General features: G+C 42.7%; 1 protein-coding gene and 1 pseudogene across 11 annotated transcripts in view, besides 1 other annotated feature; one reads left to right on the top strand and one right to left on the bottom strand.

The window, feature by feature from the left end:
- AVL9 (AVL9 cell migration associated) overlaps positions 1 to 6,000 on the top strand; it is a 93,238-nt gene extending 87,238 nt beyond the window's left edge. For all 10 annotated transcript variants that reach the window (XM_005249668.3, XM_005249669.3, XM_011515227.3 and 7 more), the window contains one exon: positions 1,066 to 6,000. In XM_005249668.3, coding sequence (XP_005249725.1) covers positions 1,066 to 1,181 — 116 coding nt within the window. In that variant the 3' untranslated portion in view covers positions 1,182 to 6,000. The remainder of the gene's footprint in view (positions 1 to 1,065) is intronic.
- DPY19L1P1 (DPY19L1 pseudogene 1) overlaps positions 1 to 20,609 on the bottom strand; it is a 138,230-nt pseudogene that overhangs the window by 1,788 nt on the left and 115,833 nt on the right. Inside the window, exons 13-15 of the transcript NR_036680.1 lie at positions 10,458 to 10,580; positions 8,153 to 8,278; positions 3,251 to 3,410 (exon numbers count right to left, since the gene is read on the bottom strand). The product of NR_036680.1 is annotated as a DPY19L1 pseudogene 1 (transcript). The remainder of the gene's footprint in view (positions 1 to 3,250; positions 3,411 to 8,152; positions 8,279 to 10,457; positions 10,581 to 20,609) is intronic.
- Positions 8,531 to 9,031: an enhancer, noted in NCBI's record as "H3K4me1 hESC enhancer chr7:32630869-32631369 (GRCh37/hg19 assembly coordinates)". NCBI's record gives its function as "activates a minimal SCP1, AML or CMV promoter by ChIP-STARR-seq in primed H9 embryonic stem cells {active_cell/tissue: H9 hESC(primed)}" and the evidence as "EXISTENCE:reporter gene assay evidence [ECO:0000049][PMID:30033119]".

Genomic DNA, 20,609 nt, shown 5'->3' on the forward strand with positions numbered 1-20,609 from the left:
CCAAGCTGAAGTGCAATATGGTGCGATCTTGGCTCACTGCAATCCCTGCAACCCCTGGCAGGATCCTCCTTCCTCAGCCTACCAAGTAGCTGGGACTACAGGCATGTGCCATCATGCCTGGCTAATTTTTCTATTTTTTGTAGAAAGAGGGTTTCGCCATGTTTCCCAGGCTGTCTCGAATTCTTGGACTCAAGCTAACCACCCGTCTCGGCTTCCCAAAGTGCTGGGATTACAGGTGTGAGCCACCATGCCTGGCCTAACATCAACTTTTGAGATACTGTTCTATAAAACACAATAGACCTGGGGCAGATAGAGCTCTATACATCTTTGTGTAACATAACTTCATTTTAGATGACAAAAGCACATTTCCCTACAACAGTCTAACCACTCTTCCCTGTTTAGATGGTTATTGATTATCAAGTTGGTATTGAAGATACACAAAGCAGTTTGACTTTTTAAGCTCTCTAATAATTCTGATACATAGCCAGTGTTGCTAGCACTGAGGGTATTAAAGAAACAGTTTGATGAATACTTTCAGAATGCTGAGGCAAGTAGGTGCCTACGCTAAAAAATCATCTATTTTTCCTTAAGACATTCCCATGGAAAGGGATTGTTTTGAAACTAAAAATTTAAATGATATTTTGGCTACTATTAACATATTGATGTGTTCTAGTGAATTAACATTTATTGGCTGGGCACAGTGGCTCACACCTGTGATCCCAACACTTTGGGAGGCTGAGGCAGGAGGATCAGTTGAGCCAAGTGTTTAAGACCAGACCCTGTCTCTACAAAAAATCAAAAAATTACCCAGGTGTGGTCACACAGGCCTGTGGTCCTAGCTACTTGGGAAGCTGAGGTGGGAGGATCACTTGAGCCTAGGATGTCAAGGCTGCAGGGAGCCGTGACCACTGCACTGCACTCCAGCCTGGGCGACAGAGTAAGACGCTGTCTCAAAAAACATTTTTTTAAATTTTTAATTAAAAATGTATTAATTATGTTGGTCTTTCACTGTCTCGTAACAAAAGTTAAGACATTTTTCCTTTTGTTTTTCTCCTCTCCATCCAGGCCAGTCAGTTGGAGGAGCTTTTTCCAGTGCAAAGACAGCTATGTCTTCATGGCTTTCCACTTTCACCACTTCCACCTCCCAAAGTCTCACTGAGCCACCAGATGAGAAGCCTTGAGCAAGGCGTCAGAGGCTGCTATTGCTTTCTGAGGTTTAAGTGTCCCCTGTCTGTCTGCTGCTCCCAGGCTGTTACTAGCCACAGATCCACAGCAGGGGACCATATGTCGAACTGTTTACATGGATGTTGCTCTAAGTGAATGTTTCGGGATGCCGAAATGATGAAATCACAGCCATAGCAGGGATGGCTTTCCAGGTTGGGGTTTCAATTGACTACTTTTATTTCAGTCTGAGCCTGATTAAAACATACAGTGAACCTTCTAATGAATTTTGAGTTCTGATATTGTACATTGGTTTACTTTAGAAGAGTTTTTACTTATGTAAATTTTGTTCTGTTTTGGTGTTTGAATATCTAGATGGTCACTGTAATTTATACTTGCTAAAATTAATTTATATTACCATTTTCTCTAAAGTTGGCCTTAAAACGTGCTTATAAAGTGAAGGGGTCATACAGTTGGGCCTTCATTATTTTGCTGAATTATGTGATGATTTTTTTGCTTTCTACCCACAAAACATTTATTAATTCACTTCCTCCCAGAAACATGAAAGTTAGAGGTGGTAGTTCTGAGGATTGGGTGTTTTGTTTTACGTTTTTAGTTTGTTCTTTCCACATCCTTAAAAACTTGGTTTCAGACATCAAGGAGTATCACTGTGCTTTCCTCCTCTTTATAACTGTGCAGGTGGGTGTGCAGAGAAATAGCAGAGTGATGGTTCGATGATACTGAAGCAGTTTAACATGAATGTGTCTGTAGGGCAATACTTTCAAAGAAGACCTATGTGTTTATTTTTCAACCGCAGTCATGTTGCAGTCTTACAAGCACTTTTTTTTTATTCCAGAGTTTGTGCCATCTGTTTCTCTTTTTTTTTTTGGGGGGGGGGGGGGGGCGGGGTCTCACTCTATCGCCCAGGCTGGAGTGCAGTGGTGCCATCTCGGCTCACTGCAACCTCCATCTCCCGGGTTCAAGCAATTCTTGTACCTCAGCCTCCCAAGTAGCTGGGATTATGGACATGCGCCACCATGCCCAGCTAATTATTGTATTTTTAGTAGAGACGGGGTTTTGCCATGTTGGCCAGGCTGGTCTTGATCTCCTGGCCTCAAGTGATCTGCCCGCCTCAGCCTCTCAAAGTGCTGGGACTACAGGCATGAGCCACTGCGCCTGGCCTGTTTCTTTTTTAAACAGTTTTCTATTGGGTGTTTGCAGACCTACAGCTTTTCTCGTAGTCTTATTCATAAAGCTTTTCAAAGCACTTAGTCTTCTACTTCCCTAACTGAAAGTCCTCCTATAATCAATCCCTACCCCCTTCTAGAAGTATCTTAAAAGAAAAGCAAGGTGATTGTAAGTATTAAATAGAAATCTCATCTTAGTTTATATTCAGCAAAGTAAGAGGCAAGAGAAGAAAACTGCAGCCTTGACATCTGTCATCTGAGAAAGGATATCTGGTTTCATGTTAGGCACATACATGCATGTGTGTGCCATCTACTGATGATTTGTACACAGCTGGACCTCGTGTGTTTGCCATGCTCAGCTCTCATTTGCTTTTCAAGGATACCTGGGATGGCTGTTCTCAGAGAGTACTTACGGGGAACAGACTGCCTTTTAGTAACAAGGGATACTTGGGAAATACATTGTGAGTATGATCTATCCCAGATTGCTGGGGAAATAAAGGAGGGCCCTGATTATATTTGGTTTATTCCTCACTAAATGTTTAAGAAGTAAATGCTCCCAAGGCATTTGAAATGAACATAGAAACATAATCTAAATGTCTCTAAATTTTCCACTTTGTGTTTTCTAAACACAAATTGTATTACTCATTTGAGCATAACTCAAGAATTCAGCGATGATAAATTGAAGGGCTGAATGTGAGAACTCCATTAATTCCACTTCTTCCAAGAAAGTTAACCTCAGGAAATGCTGTTTGAAGAGAAGAAAGTAGTACCAAACAAAAACCTTAAACAGTACTTGAATCTTTTTTGCGCTGAGACTATAAAGAATTCATTCTAACATCTTGTTTCATAAGGGCCACATCATTCGTTGGAGCATGATAGTGTGATTTGTGTACAATTGTTACCTCTCAGCTGCTGAAGTTCACACTTCAAGGATCTAGGAGCTCTGTGAGGGGTCGTCCAGCAAGATGCTGATTTGTCTTTCAGTTGGTATGGTTTCTGTGATCGGGGTAAACTCCCGTCTCCCACTATTCAAAAGCAGCCCAACTCATGCTTTGGAATCCACTGAAATAAAAATAGTTACATGAAGTTTAACTTTGCTTTAATATCACTTGTTCCTCATTGAATATACACTTTGATCGGACTTTCTATTAACATTTCTAGCTAAGAGTTTGACTCTTAGTGGTCACTTTACTGACTTTCCAACATAAAACAAGTATCTCAGAAGATACAACTTTCATCATAGAAATGGTCAAAAGACCATAGCTATATTTCCTTCAGGTTCTGGGAGGTGGAGTTTTTCAAGGAACACTGGCTGTTGTATTGTTGGCAGGGGCCCCAAGGCAGCTCGCACAATCAAAGGCAGGAAGCCTCACCCCTGGTCCTGTGACCCCCCCCCCCCACACACACACATACTTCAGGCTTGGATTCTAGGCTCCAAGTGGCCAGCATAGAAGCAGCAGCCTCTCTCCAAACCCTGGCTCTGTGAGCCATAGGAACCAGCACTAGGTCATCTTCTGACATAGCCCTGGTGAAGGTGTGTGTGTGTTGGTGGCCACACTTGCTAAGGCTTTTGTGTCTAAGAATTGAGTATTTGTACCTAGGTGTGAGGGAACCAGGGTCAGCCAGCCTTTTTCAGATGGCGCCAGGCACACACACTACATCAATGGCTTGCTGGTGGCTTCACCACTATCCAGGTGACTTAAAAGAGTGTTTGGAAAATGTCCCTGGTATACTTCAATTCCTACTAGACATTGTAATGACAATGGTGTAGGTAAGGAAGAGAGAGTTAAAACTACCAGTTGTGGAATAGAAATAGTTGCATGTCCAAAGAAGGCTTAGAATGATTGTGCATATGCAGTTGGCTCACATAACCAGCATGAACAGTCTCTCCCCAAATCCATTAGTGATTCACTACCCCCCGCCAAGCACAGCCCTAAAACAATTCTCGTCCACTTTCCTGTTAAGAAACACAGCAGCAATATACTTTGGCAGCAAACCAGAGCATATGATGTAACTTGCTCAACCTTATCTTCCTTTCCAAATTCTATACTAAGCATCTGATGTTTTTTAGAATAATTTCCTTTGGAAAGCCAACGAGAAAACAAATTAGGAAGAGAGAGAAGTGAGAAATTGTTGCATGGCTGAGGAACAAGATGCTTAAAATCTGAATGGAAGTATTTTGAGAGCAGTATTTCATGTGCTAAGGGTTATAAGAATTCTTTTAGAAAGGGATTAGAATTTTACTCTGCTAGTTACAAGTTTTAAAGTCACGCTACGGCATTATCACCCTGGCAGGTAGGTTTTGTTATTGTTTTACATTTTGTGAAAAAAAGTTTTGTAGAAGTTACAGCTAGTGGTCTTTTCCCTCCAGAGCCAGTGATGAGTGTGGGAGCACTTCAGCTCTGTAAGGGGCCAGCGTTCTGACCTTTAACCACATGAACTAACCTGCGTCAGCAGTTGCAGAAAGTAGCCTGTTAGGACAGCAGCTGCTAAGCGTTGCCTGGTATTTTAGTGGGGAGAAGGCTGGGACTCTTCATGGCATCAACACTTGCATGCTCTGAATCTTTGATCAGAGATGAGGTGCCATTTTTGGCATTTCCACCCCGTCTCGTGGTAGCCTTTAAAAGTGGTAGAAGATGCTGCCCTAATTCCCCGAGGATGATTGTCATTCCATGCAGCATAATGTGCCGTGAGGAGTTTTCTCATTCCAGTTCTTTGGACTTCGTAACATTGGAATTGTTTTTCCATAATTTCCGGCATTCCATAAATATTTGTCAAGGACAAAGAAAAGGAATGTGGATGTTTATTCTTTTCATATGAATGACTTTGTACACATGACTTCCTGCTTTCATTATGAAGGAGGGGAAACTAGTTCCCTTGTATGGTAACTCCAAAGTTAAAAAATTGTGCATGTCTGAGGGGTTGAATATATTTTGTAAAACTCTAAATACATTTGTATTTCTGTGCTGTTCTAAAGTTTACCTTTTTACTTATATGAAAGATAACTATATATTTAAATCATGTAAGTGGAACACAGTGTAGGGGGTTTTTCCAATCTTATTTTTCATCAGGTTCTCACACCCACGTAGTATGCTGCTCAAATTTTTTCGTGTGTGCAAATGTGAACATTTGAACATTTCAGTTAGGTACTGAGCCAGAAAAGGTAATTGAAGTTTTCAGAAAGCTTCTGTGCTTAGAAAATATTTTGTTGTTTTCTTAAAATATTAGTATTTTGTAGCTGGAAGAATAAGATCAAGGCTTACATGTTTCAGGCCACTTGGTCACTGGTTCCTGAATTTAGAAAACATTGGATTAATGAGTTGGTGAAGGCATTTAGTGGTTACAAAAACAGTTTAAATATTTATGATTAAAGGCTTTTCACAAACCTTTTTAAAGAAAATTTAGCTGAGAAAACTTAAAAAGTTTTCTAAGGAAGTTTAACTGTGGCACATGTTTTGATCAGAAAGGTAGTTCTCTTTGCTCTGGTAGTTTTAAAGTTTGTACTAGTTCTTTATTTCTGTTGTTTTTTTAAATTGTTAAAATTATAAATCACGTCTAATCATACTGAATTGTAAAACTTGAATTGTATCTTTATTTTAAGCATAAATGAGAATAAAATGATCCTGTTCACCCTGCCTACAGTTGGACTTGACCTGTCCTAGAAGTACCCTGTGTGTTGTCCATGTGGTTTCTGGCCTCCTTCACAGTTAAACGGCAGCTTCATTTATTAAGAAACCACACAGAATGAACTAAAGACTCATGACTCATTTACTCTCATTTTGACATCGCTTTGACAGTGGTGCCCAGCTTTCAAGGCAGTGACCTCTGCAGGAAGAGGCCCTTAGCTTCTGTGGAATGCTAAGTGCAGAGAGCTGCAAAAAGTATCAAGCAGAGCCTGGTCACAAGATAATGTCTCATTAGGATATTGTCCCAAGCAACCCATTTTGCACCTGGACTGATAAGTGTCAAAATAGCCCTTGATATTGCCACTGAAGACTCCTGCCACATTTTCATGTATATGTTCATGTACTGGGTTCCCTTACAACTGTTCTACAAAACAGGCTTTAGGATGTGCTTCACAGAAGAAGTGACAAACTTCCTTGCCCCCTGGGAATGTGTGCTTCCTTGAGTGCTGGTGCAGGGTTAAGCTGGAGTTACCAGTGTTCTTTGATGTGGACCGTGAGAGCCCTGGAGCTGATGGGATAACTTGAGGACAGTGGAGCTTCCTCTACTCAGGGAAAGGAAGGCATCTCCTTCCCTTTCCAGATGTCCCCCTCAGACTGAGCTCTCCTGTGGGGATGTGATGGGTCCCTATCACCCACCAAGGAAGAGCTGCCTACCCTTCATTCTGATAGGACAGGAGTTGCAGTTATTGAATCTGGTAACATCTGGAAGGAGTGTGATTAGGGAGCCTGTTCTTTCCAAGGAAAGTTCTTTCCATCCTTCATGAAGGGCTTCTCTCTGCCTGAGGTAATGTACACAGGGTTGGGGAAGCCACTGCAGCAGGACTGACCTGTCCAACTTCACCATCAACAGATCCTCACATGGCACGCATAGACACTTTGTATGATCATGAAGATCAGAATGGTCGTGTTCTGTGTTCTTGATCCCATGAACCACCTGCTTTTGGAACCACTGACATCCCAACATAACATAATTAAGACTCAAATGTTTTTAAACATTTCACTGGACTGGGCTGCACTCCTGGAGCACATAGATGTAGGCTAGGCCCAGAAAAATTATGAAAGCCACTTACTGAAATGCTGATCATTGCTGAGGGCAAGTGATGGGTACATAAGGGCTTCTTAGACTATTCTGTTTGTGTATGTTGGAGAATTTCCATAACGAAGAGTTAGAAACTACTTGCTAGCCATTAAACAACGTCGTTACCCATGAAAAGGCACTAGTTCCTGTGCGGCGGACCCTGAGGGCCTGACTTAGGAACTGGCTTAACTTCGTAGCTTCTCCATGGATGCCCTGGCCTCCACAAGCCCTCTCACCAACTGAAACCTTGGCTGCTGCTGTTGCCTTCCCATCCCTCTAGTTGTTGGAGGAGCACTATTGAGAGAACCCGTAGTACACAGTAATCAAAGACCCAGCCCAACCTCTCTTCCTCCTGAAAGTCTTCCCCAGGCTACTCTGAGTCCTTTCTAATACCTGGATTCTCAGGGGCCAGTGGCTCACACCTGTAATCCTGAATATTTTGGGAGGCTGAGGCAGGAAGACTGCTTGGGCCCAGGAGTTCGAGACCAGCCTGGGCCACATAGGGATACCTCGTATCTACAAAAAATTTAAAAATTAGCTGAAGGCCAGGTGCGGTGGCTCACACCTGTAATCCCAGCACTTTGGGAAGCCAAGGTGGGTAGATCACCTGGGGTCAGGAGTTCGAGACCAGCCTGACAAACATGGAGGAACCCCGTCTCCACTAAAAATACAAAATTAGCTGGGCGTGGTGGTGCATGCCTGTAATCCCAACTACTTGGGAGGCTGAGGCAGGAGAATCGCTTGAACCCGGGAGGCAGAGATTGCAGTGAGCCAAGATTGAGCCATTGCACTCCAGCCTGGGCGACAAGAGCAAAACTCCATCTCAAAAAAAAAAAAAAAAATTAACTGGGCATGGTTGCATCTTCCTCTAGTCCCAGCTACGGGAGATGAGGGGGTGGGCTCGGGTGAGAGGATCACTGAAACCAGGAGGTCAAGGCTGCCATGAGCCATGACTGTGCCACTGCCCTTCAGCTTGGGCAACAGAATGAGACTCTGTCTCAAAAAAATAAAATAATAAAATACCTGGATTCAGTACTTACTGAGGACTATGTAAAGCGGTGCTTCCCAGTCTTGGAGACTTGCCATACAGTGCCACACATAGTCCCTGACACGTTCAGTTCCTACTCCGTGGACCTTGCTGTTCAGCAGGTGCGGGTGGGCGGTCACTGTAGAGGGGAGAGAGTGCTGGGTGGTGAGGGAGCACGAGTGGCGCCAACACACCACAGGGGGTAACTGCTTTTTCACAGGGACCAATAAATATCTCTTCCCCTGAGTCTAAGTTGAGGCCTGAGGGAGTTTTCCAGGTGAGGTGGGAGTGAGGGGAGAGACCATGAGACGTAAAGGGCTCTGTGGCCTGGCAGAGCAGCACAAAGACTGGAAGCAGCGCGGCTTGAGGGGATGTTTTTTGGAGTGGCCGAAACCGAAATGGCAAGGACGACAGGCTAGAGATGAGGTCAGGAAATAAGGCCATATCTGGAGGAGAGCCCTGTCAGCCCGCGGACAGGGGAAAGCCTTCAAGGGTTTCCCACAGGCAGGTGGCAGGTTGGCTGGGTGTTGCCTGTGGAAAGTTCTTTCGGTCGTGGGCACCACTGCTTCTGCTTTGCCCTTTGCTGTAAAGTTAGTGATGTTCCTCAGCTGACCTCTGAACTCAACCACCGCCCCTTTCCCTTCCTCACTGGCCTTCACAGTTTTCCACTGACTTTAAATCACATTTGCCCCAAACATAATAAAGCCAAGAACAAAAGTCTATGGCATGGCCCTCAGTCAAAAACCAGTTACTGTGAGAACACTGTTTTCCCGATTTCCCCAGGCATTAGGTCCGTGGAAGTTGTTGATGAAAAGAACCTGTCAAGTGATGGTGTCCCTGCCAGGAAGCCAAGAGCACAGAGGGCACTTGAGCATCTGTTTCCATTACTCTCTCTGGCTAAGTGGAGACCCAGGAGACATGTGGCACCACCGCTGTGGTGATGTGTTTAAACTTGGAGAAAACCCGCTGTTTCTTCATGTCATTTACAAGCACAAAGGGAGTCATTTATACATTCAAAAAGCCCATCTGCCGCTAACATCTAGACTTTCAATTATATTCAATTCATAGAATTATTTTTTCTGATAAAATTTAACCACATTCATGCTCTCAGGAATGCCAAGGTTAAAAGTGGGGCAATGGAGAATTTCTAAAGTAGCCTGTCCACCTGCCTCCTCAAGCTCTGCCCTAGAAAACCATCACTGAGCAGCACTTCCTAGAAACCACGGAGACTGAAGCAAAATTACCCCGTCCTTGGCTCTCACATCCTGAATTGGTTCTTTGTACAGGATCATCCATCTAGAAACCAAAGCTACTGTGGCCTTGATAAACCACTCACTCTCGCTAAATACTTTCCAAATGGAAATTCCAAGGTAAAGTTTTAACAGATGAAGATGAATGAGTATTTTTTGTGTCACCCATTTTATGGTCATCAAAACCACAAGGTCAGCAGGACTAGAATTTTTAAATCTTATATATTTTATGACCTTTAAAGTGTGTTTTTTCATTAGTGACATATCCCTCACTTTGGGACTCAAAGTGGAAATCATTTTTGAGTGTGGTTAATTCCATTCCTTTGAGCATCTGGGCTTAATCCTTAAAATTTTCTTTTGGGACCTTATTGGAAATGAAGGATTAACTAGTCACCACTCCTCCGGTTGGAAAACGTGTCTTTTGTTTCCTTTTTTGCTTTTTTTTTTTTTTAATTTTTGATCTTTAAATAGAGACACAGTGTCACTATGTTGCTCAGGCTGGTCTTGAACTCCTGGGCTCAAGCAATCCTCCTGCCTCAGCCTCCCAAAGTGCTGGGATTACAGGCATGAGCTACCATGCCCCGCTTGTTTCCTTTTAAATTGTCAAGTTAACCCTGTGACCACCCTCCCTTGAAGGACAGGCTATTGTGTTTCCAAAGCTTCTAATGTAATTCATAGGGAACTCAAAATGGATTTCCCATATGGACAGTGTTGTTTATGGGAGCTATGTCTCAGCTCAAAAAAGGCAGCTCACCAGACAGCCAGAGTAGATACCAAAATACAGTCACACGTCACTAACAACATTCTGCAAAATGCGTCACTGGATAATTTCACTGTTGTGTGAACATCATCGAGTGTACTTACAATATCCTAGATGGCAGAGCCTACTACATAGTTAGGTCATATGGTATGGCCTATTGCTCCTAGGCTACAAACCTATACAGCATGGTACTGTTCTGAATCCCGCAGGCAGTGTTCACACAATGGTAAGGATTTGTGTTTCTAAACATAGAAAAGGTACAGTAAAAAGACAGCATTGTACAAAATTAGCTGGGTGGTGGGGCATACCTGTAATCCTAGCTACTCGGGAGGCTGAGGCAGGAGAATCGCTTGAACCTGGGAGAGGAAGGTTGCGGTGAGCCAAGATCACACCATTGCACTCCAGCCTGGGCAACAAGAGTGAAACTCCATCTCAAAAAAAAAAAAAAGACAAGTATTATAATCTTAAGGGACCACCATCGTATATGCTGTCTGTCACTGACCAAAGGTTCGCTATGTGGCACATGACTGTGTGGTATAAAGGTACTAGAGAACTGTGCAACAGATGGAAACGTGTTAAGTGACAACCTGGCAGCTGAAACCGTAACTTCCATTCGCCGCAGCCCCAGCAGAGTAAGTTAAGCTTCACTCAGTCTTGTCTTAACACAAAACCACTTGCTATGGGTGAGGGCTGTCTGGGTCCAGAAGATAACAGATTAGATCTGTACAGATACATGATATAAAGAAAGTGATGGGGCTGGGTGCAGTGGCTCACACCTATAATCCCAACACTTAGGGATGCTGAGGCACGAGGACTGCTTGAGCCCAGGAGTTTGAGACCAGCTTGGGTGATATAGCGAGACCCCTTCTCTACTAAAAATAAATTAGCTGGACATGGTGGCAAGCGCCTGTAGTCCCAGCTACTCTGAGGTGGGAAGATTGCTTGAGCCCAGGAGATCAAGGCTGCAGTGAGCTATGATGGTGCCACTGCACTGAAGCCTGGGTGACAAAGCAAGACCCTATCTCAAAAAAAAAAAAAAGAAAGATGAGTGTGTTGAGAAGTCCAGTAAAGTGCCATCATGGCAATCTTTTCGCTGGGACAGTGAGAGAAAGCTTCCTTGAGGAAGTGTCATTTGAGCTGCTGAAGTGAGGATGAGGCAGTGAAGATGAGAGCAGATTTTCTGTCCTCCGGCCTTGGGGATGGGGCCAGGGGTGGCATGGCCTGAGATGCAGGGGAGGAGCAGGTCAGGGGGAGTGAAGCTCTAGGAAGGGGAAAAGAGTGATGAGAGAGGAGAACTGAAGAAGAATACAGCCTGCAGGGTTGCTAAAGCCAGAAGGAATCTGAGAAATACAGAAACCAGCTCCTCCTGCTCTGCCCCTGGGAGTCTGTTTCTCTTGATGAGGCTACAGGGACTAAGGGAAAGAGTGTGAGGAGGGGGAAAACCCCTCTTGGCAAACACAGGAAAAAAGAGAAGAGCCTGTGAGGAGCGGTCTGTGCTGAGGACATGTGTGTGATGATGTGGCTGCCTTTCCAGGGGCAAGCATGGGAAGTACCTTCCACCAAGGAAGCTGGAAGGGTTGGGAAAGTGCAACTACCTTTATATCAATATCACAAACCAAAATGTTTTGAAAATAAACATCAGTTTTTCTTGGGGACCAAAAGATGTTTTATCCACTTGGAAGCTGCGACAGATTTCAAGGCTAAGCAGATGTTAATTAAAATCAACTATTTCATCTTATTTAGGTGGTTACATAAGTATACACATAAAGTCAAGCTGTACATGTAAGATGTATTTTAATGTTCCTAATCATTAAAAAAAAATACCCAATCATTTCAAAATGTAATTTACTTCTCAGGGAAGTATGATCAGTGGAAGGAATATAGCTTCCACTTTTCAGACACATCTTTGAAGAAAACTACAAATCCAAGAGGCTGGTGTTTCTGACAAGTAAAAATTCCGCATAAAATTGCCTGCATTTCATTTCACTCAATTTTGGCAACAATTAGCATCACTCTTTGCATTTGTTCAGGGCTTTATAATAAAGTCGGGATGCCATAAATAGGTCAACAGGCCTGGGTGGGAACACCAGCACCCACACTTGCTTGTTACTTGACATCTCTGAACCACACATTCTCCTTCAGTACAGTGGGTTTAAATGAGATGATGATGCATGTGTTGAGGCTGCACTTGTGTATCTTCACATTCGTCTATTGTTCATCATCCTCTATGGCAAGTGAACAGGGCTTTTTTCCTGTTTTATTTATCTTCAGAGCCTAGAACAGTGCCTGGTGCAGAGTAAGCACTTAGTGGACACTGGATGAATAGACCGATAGACAATTCTGATTTGTAAATGGAGAAGAAGGGAGATGTTTTCTTACTGGGAGAAGAAGCAGAACAAAGGAAAATGAAAAGAATGGCGTGAGTTCCTGTGGTTAGAAGAGAGGTCATCAGAAAGGAATGACATAATTGGATATGAAAAGGAAGTGTGAACTTATACATACTCAAACTGGCATTATGTCTAATATATGGTTGACTCTGAATACATATGCGCTATTACTATTTTTTTTTTTTTGAGAGAGAGTCTCGCTCTGTCACCCAGGCTGGAGTGCAGGTGGTGCAGTCTCAGCTCACTGCAACCTCCGCTTCCCAGGTTCAAGCAATTCTCCTGGATCAGCCTCCTGAGTAGCTGAGACTATAGGTGCACAACACCAAACATAGCTAATTCTTGTATTTTTAGTAGAGACAGGGGTTTCACCATGTTGGCCAGGCTGGTCTCGAACTCCTGATGTCAGGTGATCCACCCACCTCAGCCTCCCAAAGTGCCAGGATTACAGGAGTGAGCCACTCACCCGGCCTGCTATTACTATTATTTTTAATTCTTTATTTAATTTTTTTTTTCTTACAGACAGTGTCTCACTCTGTGGCCCAGGCTGGAGTTCAGTGGTGCAATCATAGCTTACTGCAGTCTTAAACTCCTGGGCTCAAGCGATCCTCCCACTTCACCTTCCTAAGTAGCTGGCACTACAGGCTCATGCCACCAGACCTAGCTAATGTTTTTTATTTTATTTTATTTTTTTTTTGAGACAAGAGTCTCGCTCTGTTGCCCAGGCTGGAGTGCAGTGGTGCAATCTTGGCTCACTGCAACCTCCACCTTCCAGGTTCAAGTGGTTCTCCTGCTTCAGCCTCTTGAGTAGCTGGGACTATAGGCGTGTGCCACCATGCCCAGCTGATTTTTTTGTATTTTTAGTAGAGATGGGATTTCACTGTGTTAGCCAGGATGGTCTTGATCTCCTGACCTCGTGATCCGCCCACCTCGGCCTCCCAAAGTGCTGGGATTACAGGTGTGAGCCACCGCACCCAGCCCTTTTAAATTTTTTTGTAGAGAAATGACCTTGGTATGTTGCCTCAGATGGTCTTCAACTCCTGGACTCAAGCGATCCTCCCACCTCAGCCTCCTAAAGTGCTGGGGTTATGAGTGTGAGATACCACAATGGCCTATTTTTGATTCTTTATATTAATAACTGAAGAGACCCAAAAGAATTTTTATCAATGTGTATGATATAAAAAATAATAAAATGAACAATCCACCACCCAGCTCTAAGAGTGTGTCTCTCATCCCTCATTTTGCTTAAAAATTTGTCCAGGCATTGTGGCTCACGACTGTAATCCCAGCACTTTGGGAGGCCGAGGCAGCTGGATCACTTGAGCCCAGGAGTTTGAGACCAACCTGTGCAACATGGCACAACCCTATCTCTATGAAAAATACAAAAAAAAATTAGCCAGGCATGGTGGCACATGCCTGTGGTACCAGCTACTCATAAGGCTGTGGCAGGAGATCACCTGAGCCAGGGGAATCAAGGCTGCAGTGAGCTGTGATTGTGCCACTGCACTCCAGCCTGGGCAACAGAGACTCTGTCTCAAAGGAAAAAAAAATTATGATATATTTCCCTTCTCAACAACAGATTGTTTAGTGTGTCAGATTTTTGAACTTTATACAAGTTGAATCATACATACATATTACCCTGTGACTTGCTTTTTCTTGCATATTAAGTTTCTGAGCGTCATGTCGCTTTGTCTATCTGTAGATCATTTTCACTGCCAGGAAGTATTCTATTGTGTGAAAATACTGCAGTTCATTTCCACACTCAATTGTTCATGAGTTCATGAACAATTTTTTTGGTCTTCCCCTCCCCAATCGATGTTTGCTATTATAGTAGGCCCCCCTCGAGCATCATGTGCCTGGAATTTAAAAAAAAAAAAAAAAAGAAAGAAAGAAAGAAAAAGAAACAAAAAATACAGTAGTCCCACCATACCTTTGAAGGTTACGTTCTAAGACCCCTACTACACACATGAAACCACAGATAGTACTGAACTCTATATATTACTATGTTTTTTTCCAATACGTACCTATGACAAAGTTTATAAATTAAGCACAGTAAGAGATTAACAATAACTAACAATAAAAATAGAGGCTGGACACAGTGGCTCACACCTGTAATCCCAGCACTTTGGGAGGCCGAGGCCAGCGGATCCATGAGGTCAGGAGATCAAGACCATCCTGGCTAACACAGTGAAACCCTGTCTCTACTAAAAACACACAAAAAAATTAGCCGGGTATGGTGATGGGCGCCTGTAGTCCCAGCTACTCGGGAGGCTGAAGCAGGAGAATGGCGTGAACCCAGGAGGCAGAGCTTGCAGCGAGCCGAGATCGCGCCACTGCACTCCAGCCTGAGCTACAGAGTGAGACTGTCTCAAAAAAAAAAAAGAACAATTATAACAATATGCTATAATAAAAGTGATGCCAATATGATCTCTCCCTCAAAATATCTTATTTGTACTGCATTCACCCTTCCTGTGATGATGTGAGATGATAAAATGCCTACATGATTAGGTGAATGACACAGGCATTGTGACTAGCGTCAGGCTACTATTGACCTTCTGATGATATGTCAAAAGAAGGACCATCTGCTTCAGGTGATCCTGGATCATTGAGCCATAATGATGTTGATGGTTGTGTGTCAGGAGGAAACCAAATTGATGACTACCAACCAGGTCAACAGTGTAGATCTCAAGGATGCACTGGACAAAGAGATGGAATGTCCTGAGTGGGACAGAGAAGGACAACCTGAGATTTCATCACACTACTCAGAACGCCAAGCAATTTAAAACTTACAAGTTGTCCTCAGCAAATGCAAAAGAACTGAAATCATAAAAGTCTCTCAGACCACAGTGCAATTAAATTAGAACTCAGGGATTAATAAATTCATTCAAAACCACACAACTACATGGAAACTGAACAGCCTGCTCCTGAATGACTCCTGGGTAAATAATGAAATTAAGGCAGAAATCAAGAAGTTCTTTGAAACCAATGAAAACAAAGAGACAATGTACCAGAATCTCTGGGACACAGCTAAAGCAGTATTAAGAGGGAAATTTATAGCACTAAATACCCACATCAGAAAGCTAGAAAGCTCTCAAATTGACACCCTAACATCACAATTAAAAGAACTAGAGAAGCAAGAGAAAACAAATCCAAAAGCTGGCAGAAGACAAGAAGTAACTAAGATCAGAGCAGAACTGAAGGAGATGGAGACATGAAAAACCCTTCAAAAAAAAAATCAATGAATCCAGGAGCTGATTTTTTTTTAAAACTAACAAAATAGATAGACCACTAGCTAGAGTAACAAAGAAGAAGGGAGAGAAGAATCAAATAGACACAGTAAAAAATGATAAAGGGGATATCACCACTGACCCCACAGAGATACAAACTACCATCAGAGAATACTATAAACACCTTTACACAAACAAACTAGAAAATCTAGAAGAAATGGATAAATTCCTGGACACGTACACCCTCCCAAGACTAAACCAGGAAGAAGTTGAATCCCTGAATTGACCAATAACAAGTTCTTAAAGTGTTATTGGTTTAAGTTTTTTAAACCCAGGACCAGATGGATTCACAGGTGAATTCTACCAGAGGTACAAAAAAGAGCTGGTACATTCCTTCTGAAGCATTCCAAACAATTGAAGAGGAGGGACTCGTTCCTAACTCATTTTATGAGGCCAGCATCATCCTGATACCAAAACCTGGCAGAGATACAACAAGAACAAAAACTTCAGGCCAATATTCCTGATGAACATTGATGTGAAAATCCTCAATAAAATACTGGCAAACTGAATCCAGCAGCACATCAAAAAGCTTATCCACTATGATCAAGTCCACTTCATCTCTGTGATGCAAGGCTGGTTCAGCATATACAAATTAATAAACCTAATCCATCACATAAACAGAACCAATGACCAAAACCACATGATCATCTCAATAGTGCAGAAAAGGTCTTTGATAAAATTTAACATCCCTTCATGTAAAAGCTCTCAATAAACTAGGTATTGATGGAACAGATCTCAAAAAAATAAGAGCTATTTATGACAAACCCATAGCCAATATCATACTGAATGGGCAAAAGCTGGAAGCATTCTCTTTGAAAACCAGCACAAGACAAGGATGCCCTCTCTCACCACTCCTATGCAACATAGTATTGGAAGTTTTGGCCAGGGCAATCAGGCAAGAGAAAGAAATAAGGGGTGTTCAAATGGGAAGAGAGGAAGTCAAATTGTCTTTGTTTGCAGACAAAATGATTCTATATTTAGAAAACCCCATCATCTCAGCCCAAAAACTCCTTAAACTGATAAGCAACTTCAGCAAAGTCTCAGGATACAAAATCAATGTGCAGAAATCACATACTTTCCTTTACACCAACAATAGGCAAGTAGAGAGCCAAATCATAATGAACTCCCATTCACAAATTGCTACAAAGAGAATAAAATACCTAGGAATGCAGCTAACAAGGGATGTGAAGGACCTCTTCAAGGAGAACTACAAACCACTGCTCAAGGAAATAAGAGAAGACGCAAACAAATAAAAAAAATTCCATCTTCATGGATAGGAAGAATCAATATTGTGAAAATGGCCATACTGACCAAAGTAACTTATAGATTCAATGCTATTCCCATTAAACTACCATAGACATTCTTCAAAGAATTATAAAAAACTACTTTAAATTTCATACGGAACCAAAAAAGAGCCCATATATCCAAGACAATTGTAAGCAAAAAGAACAAAGCTGGAGGCATCACGCTACCTGACTTCAAACTATACTACCAGACTACAGTAACCAAAAAAGCATGGTACCAAAACAGATATATAGACCAAAGGAACAGAACAGAGACCTCAGAAATAACACCACACATCTACAGCCATCTGCTCTTTGACAAGCCTGACAAAAACAAGCAATGGGGAAAGGATTCCCTATTTAATAAGTGGTGCTGGGAAAACTGGCTAGCCATGTGCAGGAAACTGAAACTAGACCCCTTCCTTATACCTTATACAAAAAATAACTCAAGATAGATTAAAGACTTAAATGTAAAACTGAAAATCATAAAAACCCTAGAAGAAAACCTAGGCAATACCATTCAGGACATAGGTATGAACAAAGATTTCATGATGAAAATGCCAAAAGCAATTTCAACAAAAGCCCAAATTGACAAATGGGATCTAATTAAACTAAAGAACTTCTGCACAACAAAAGAAACTATCATCAGAGTGAACAGGCAACCTACAGTATGGGAGAAAATTTTTGCAATCTACCCATCCGACAAAGGTCTAATATCCAGAATCTACAAGGAACTTAAACAAATGTACAAGAAAAAAACAACCCCATCAAAAAGGGCAAAGAATATGAACAGCCACTCCTCTAAAGAAGACATCTAGGCCGGGCGCGGTGGCTCACACCTGTAATCCCAGCACTTTGGGAGGCCGAGGCGGGCGGATCACGAGGTCAGGAGATCGAGACCATCCCAGCTAAAACGGTGAAACCCCGTCTCTACTAAAAAAATACAAAAAATTAGCCGGGCGTAGTGGCGGGCGCCTGTAGTCCCAGCTACTTGGGAGGCTGAGGCAGGAGAATGGCGTGAACCCGGGAGGCGGAGCTTGCAGTGAGCCGAGATCCCGCCACTGCACTCCAGCCTGGGCGACAGAGCGAGACTCCGTCTCAAAAAAAAAAAAAAAGAAGACATCTATGTGGCCAACAAACATATGAAAAAAAGCTCAACATCACTGATCATTAGAGAAATGCAAATCAAAACCATAAGATACCATCACACACCAATCAGAATGGCGATTATTAAAAAGCCAAGAAACAACAGATGCTGGTGAGGCTGTGGAAAAATAGGAACACTTTTATACTGTTGGGGGAAATGTAAATTAGTTCAAACATTGTGGAAGACGGGGTGGCAATTTCTCAAGGATCTAGAATCAGAAATACCATTTGACCCAGCAATCTCATTACTGGATACATAGCCAAAGGAATATAAATCACTCTACTATAAAGACACACGTACACGTATGTTTAGTGCAGCATTGTTTACAGTAGCAAAGACATGGAACCAACAAAAATGCTCAATGATAAACTGGATAAAGAAAATGTGGTACATATACACCATGGAATACTACACAGCCATAAAAAGGAATGAGAACATGTCCTTTGCAGGGACATAGATGAAGCTGGAAGCCCTCATCCTCAGCAAATTAACACAGAAACAGAAAACCAAACACTGCATGTTCTCACTCAGTAGGAGCTGAATAATGAAAACACATGGACACAGGGAGGGGAACAACACACACTGGGGCCTGTCGGAGGGTGGGAGGCGAAGGGAGGGAGAACATCAGGACAAACAGTTAATGCATGCATGTTGGACTTAAAACCTAGATGACGGGTTGATAAGTGTAGCAAACCACCATGGTACATGTATACCTATCTAGCAAACCTACATGTTCTGCACATGTATCCCGGAACTTAAAGTAAAATAAATAAATAAAAAAGAAACATATATTTAAAAAAAAAACACCCTTATGAGTTGTTAATTTCTGGAATTTTCCATTTAATATTTTCAGACTGCAGTTGACTGCAGGGAATTAAAACCATGAAACCTTGGATAAGGAGGGACTACTGTACAAGCAGGTTGCTAAGATCAGTCTAGTGTACATTTCCTGATAGGTGTGTATGAGAGTTTCTCTAGGGTGCACACCTAGGAATGGAATTGCTAAGCCATAGTGTATGTATCTTCAGTTTGTTAGGTTTCTATTATCTATTACTGTATAAAACAACCCTTCCCAAAACTTGGGGTCTCACAGTGAATCATAATAGGGTGGTAGTGGGCTCACACCTATAATCCCAGCACTTGGGAGGCCAAGGTGGGAAGATCACATGAGCACGGAGTTTGAGACCAGTCTAGGTAACAAAGCGAGACCTTGTCTCTACCCAAAAAAAAGCAGGGCATGGTGGCAAGTGCCTGTAGACCCAGCTGCTCAGGAGGCTGAGGTAGGAGGATCACTTGAGCCTAGGAGGTCAAGGCTGCAGTGAGCTATGATCATGTCACTTGCACTCCAGGCTGAGTGGCAGAGAGACCCTATCTCTAAAATGAAAAAAAAAAAAAAAAGTTTTAAAACTGTGGTAATGGTTGCACAACTTTTAAAACGTACTAAAGATCACCCAAGTGTACACTTATATGGTTGAATTCTATGGTATGTAAGTTATAACATAAAGTTATTTTTTAAAAATTACATAGCTTAAAAAACAATAAAAGTCATTTATTTTGCTCAAGGGTCTGGTATTTGGGCAGAGATTAGCAGGTATGTTTCATCTGCTCCCAGGATGAACTGTCAATTGGAGGATCCAACTTCCAGGATCCTCACATGACTACAAGTTGGTACTGGCTGGCAAGGGAGCCTCTCTCTGGGACTGTGTGGGCTTCCTGACAGCATGGTGGCTAGGCTCCAAGAACAAGTGTTCCAAGAGACCTAAACAGACAGAAACTGCAGGCTTCTTCTGACCTAGCATTTGATGTCCCAGAGTGTTACTTCTGCTGCATTTTTTTTTTTTTTTTTCTGAGACGGAGTCTTGCTCCATCACCCGGTCTGGAGTGCAGTGGTGTGATCTCAGCTCACCGCAGCCTCCGCCTCCCGGGTTCAAGCGATTATCCTGCCTCAGCCTCCCAAGTATCTGGGACTACAGGCATGTGCCACAACACCCGGACAATTTTTTTATGTTTAGTAGAGACGGGGTTTCACCATGTTGGCCAGGCTGGTCTCGAACTCCTGACCTCGTGATCCACCTGCCTCAGCCTCCCAAAGTGCTGGGATTACAAGCATGAGCCACTGCACCCGGCTACTTCTGCTGCATTCTATTGGCCAAGAAGTCCCTAAGACCAGCCCACATTTAAGGAGAAGGGACTCAACCTCTCAATGGGAACAGCATCAGAAAATGTGGCCATCTTCAATGTATCATACTGTTGTACCTGAGCGAGTTAGAGAGAACGCCACACTTTGAGACAAATTAAGAGTCCTTTATTAGCCTTAGCCGGCGACCGAGAGACGGCTAACGCTCAAAATTCTCTCGGC

The sequence above is a fragment of the Homo sapiens genome, chromosome 7 (assembly GCF_000001405.40).
Source record: "Homo sapiens chromosome 7, GRCh38.p14 Primary Assembly".
NCBI classification, from domain to species: Eukaryota; Metazoa; Chordata; class Mammalia; order Primates; family Hominidae; genus Homo; species Homo sapiens.